Raw genomic sequence first — 3165 nt, 5'->3', positions numbered from 1 at the left:
CAGCATATTGAGAAATCAAGCTACTGTGTGTTTTTTCCACTTGAGCCATTTGTCGGCAGATACTATAAAAACCCCAGTCGTTTCTCTTGATCTTTATCAGAGATTGCTGTTTTCTTTGATCTCCTCCCCTGTGTGTGACATTTGTGCATGGCTTCCCCATTTAATTGTCTGTCTTTTGGTTGCTGTTTGAGTTTAAAAGTTAATCGTAGCTTTCCTTTTTCTTTTTCTTTTTTTTTTTTAACTCTTCAGTTTTTGAGCCAGTCTTCCAGGTAAAGTATTGTGATTTCCTAATGACGTCTCGTCAGTTAGGTTAGTAATGTCTGCCTCTGCTCAGTTTTGCACAGATAGTACATTTCTGAAGTTACGAGGAGAAACCCCTCACAGAAAAGTCCAGACGGTTGTTGTGCATCTTGGTTTGCCATTATCTGTGTGGAAGACATCAAGGCTGGCTTGCAAAGTGTAAACCCGCCTCCCTGCAGAGCGGCCAGCCTCTCCGGTTCAGCCCAGCTTCCTCAGTTTACCCCCACGCACCTCCTTTCACTGTGACAGCCACCGAGTAGAGGATAAAGTAGAAAAAGGAATGTACACATGCGCCCCCGACCTTCTCCCCACCCTATTTGAATGTTGAGGATCTTTTTACAGATTTCCCTAGCGGTGGGGGCCTCCAGAGCCCACCCCGACGAATGCTGAGGCCTTCTGTACAGTTTCCACAGTTACAGCCACATTCTCCATTGGGACTTCTAACTGCAAATATCAGGGAAAGAAGACTGACATTTAGTTTGGCACATGATATGTGCAATGCGTTAGAAGCATCTCTTGTACAATCAGCAGCCCCATTTTGCACATGAGAAAAGTGAGGCTGATGAAGTTAATAAATGAATTTCTTTCCTCTCCCCGCTGCTCTTGTGCCTTTTTAAAACTCTCGTGTTTTTTTTTTTCTCCTTTCTGTAGTTGTACAGGCACCTCTGGGCTCTCACAGCTCAGTACTCACGTTCGTGTATCAAAATCTATAGTTAAGCTTTGCCCCCTGTGAGTGCAAATGGCTGGCGAGCATGTGCTGCCAAGCAGCGGTCCCCGTGTGGAAGAGGAGGCTGAGAAAATGCAGTCAGGCTTCACTTCAGAACAAAACACTTGAGAACACACTTGAGACAGTACAAAACACTTCAGACGTGGCCGGTAAACAGGCCTGAGCTCCCCGGGAAGGACCACATGGGCACAGTGGACCTTTTCCCGTTCTGTTTCCTGGTATCCACATCAGCATTCGGAAGATGTCTGGGCACAGCGGAGGGGTCCCATAAATCACCAGGCCAGCAGACTCACCTCCAGGGTGGGGAAGTCTTAAACCTTCCCCCGCCATGTACCCCACAGAGTACGTTATTCAAGGACAGGCACCTCTAATGACCATCAGCACCCTGGGGGACCGTGTGGGGAGTGGGGCACACAAGGACCTGTATGACTGATGACAGACTCTTCCTCTGTGACACGCATCACAGTTGTGATTAAATAAGTTTGGGTAGGTATTTGCTTACTGTCTGTTTTCCCTAGGAAACATCACGCTTCTTGTGAGTAGGATCTGTGACTGCCTGACTCTCCGCAGCACCTCTGCAGAGCCTGGCATGTAGAAGGTGCTCAGTGAATACTGGTTGAGTGAATAAACAAGGTATTTATGCAGGGTGGCTTTTATTGGATGAGCTACGAAAGATCCCCTGCGGTGCTGAAGCAAAGGCCCCCAGGTGGAGAGGGGAAGGCGACCTGAGGGGAGAGGAAAAGAAAGTTCTATCAGGGAAATGAATCCCTCAGAAGTGGGTGGCTCAGTCAACGGCGAGTGGAACGGTGTCAGTTGGGCTCAGGGTTCAGACTGGCAGCTGGGCGAGAGGCCTGGGAGGGGATGTGTGGGGAGACAGGGCCTTCTGCGTGGGGCTGGCAGCAAGCAGGACTACAGGAAAGGGCTGGGCAAGGGCAGGCCATCTCCAAACTTCCTGCTTGAAAATATCAGGAAAAGGGAGGAATAAAGGAGGGACAAAGAAAAAGGAAGAGGACCGAGAAGAAATGGAAGGGAAAGAGGATGAGGAAGACACAGAAGAGGGAAGGAAGGAAGGGAGGAAGGAAGGGAGGGAGGGACGGAGGGAAGGAAGGAAGAGCAAGAGAGGTAAAATGGACAAAGGAAGATGGAAGGTAGGAAATAATGAAAGGAGGAAGAAAAGAGAGGGAACGAAGGAAGAAAGAAGGGAGGGAAGAAAGAAAGGAAGGACAGAGGAGAAGGGAAAAAATTATCTTCTATTGACAGAAAAACCCTGAAGACCAGGAGAACATGGTTATTTTATAAAACGTCACAAAAGGTAAGGGGAAAACAAACAGTGGAGAAGCGGGAGCAGCTAATCTGTGATCTTGATGGAGAAGAGGTGCTGCGTATGTATCCATAATGAAAGACCAAGATTGACAGGAGGAAGATGGGCCAGGCAGGAGGGTATAAATAGCAGCGCTGGCTTATTTGTAACTTTCATTTTTAGGTAAGGATGATTGGCACATGGATGGCTTGGATGAAGGGAGCCCCCTGATCTTTAACTTGCAGGTCACATGGAGAAAACTTTGCAAAAATGCTCCAACATGGAGATGTCAACTTGAGTGACAGCCCTGTGCGAGGTGCCTTGCTCCGGCTGCCTTCTTTACATGCATGGCTTCACAGAAATGATGACTGCCATTTGAACAGAAAGACATCCTTCCCAACCGGGGTCAGGAAACTGACAGGGCCCACCCATTAATAGAAATAACTGTCATTTAAAATAAAATGCTTGGTGGAAAACTTCAGAAATCTATTAGATAACATGGGGCCTGTGATCAGGGCACCCATGAATCACCGTAGAGGATGCTGGTGCTCAGATATGGCGCAATGAATGGGCAACGGTCACATCCCCAGCAGTCGATGCAGCCAGCCATATGGCTCCCTCATGCAGAACATGCAGGCGCCTTCTCCTGATTTACAGCCCCTACATCTTAATCAGGAGCTTTCCTTGTGGGACAATGCAGGAGGGGATCTGCATGAAAGGATGAATGACAACATAGTTTATGATTTGAAAACTTCTTACAGCAAAAACTTTTTTGGTGCTTGGAGTTGTTTGGAGAAGGTTCTTTCCTGTCAAAACAACCAAGCCAGTCATGCTCACT

At 47.7% G+C, this 3165-nt stretch overlaps 1 long non-coding RNA gene across 1 annotated transcript; it reads left to right on the top strand.

Annotated features, from left to right (window-relative positions):
* Positions 1–1583: 1583 nt before the first annotated feature.
* On the top strand, positions 1584–2803 carry LOC124902522 (uncharacterized). The gene is made up of 2 exons (XR_007062333.1): positions 1584–1660; positions 2288–2803. It is a non-coding gene; the product is annotated as an uncharacterized LOC124902522 (long non-coding RNA).
* The last annotated feature ends 362 nt before the right edge of the window (positions 2804–3165 follow it).

Source organism: Homo sapiens, chromosome 10 (assembly GCF_000001405.40).
Source record: "Homo sapiens chromosome 10, GRCh38.p14 Primary Assembly".
Taxonomy (NCBI): domain Eukaryota; kingdom Metazoa; phylum Chordata; class Mammalia; order Primates; family Hominidae; genus Homo; species Homo sapiens.
This window is presented reverse-complemented; position numbering and strand designations above follow the sequence as displayed.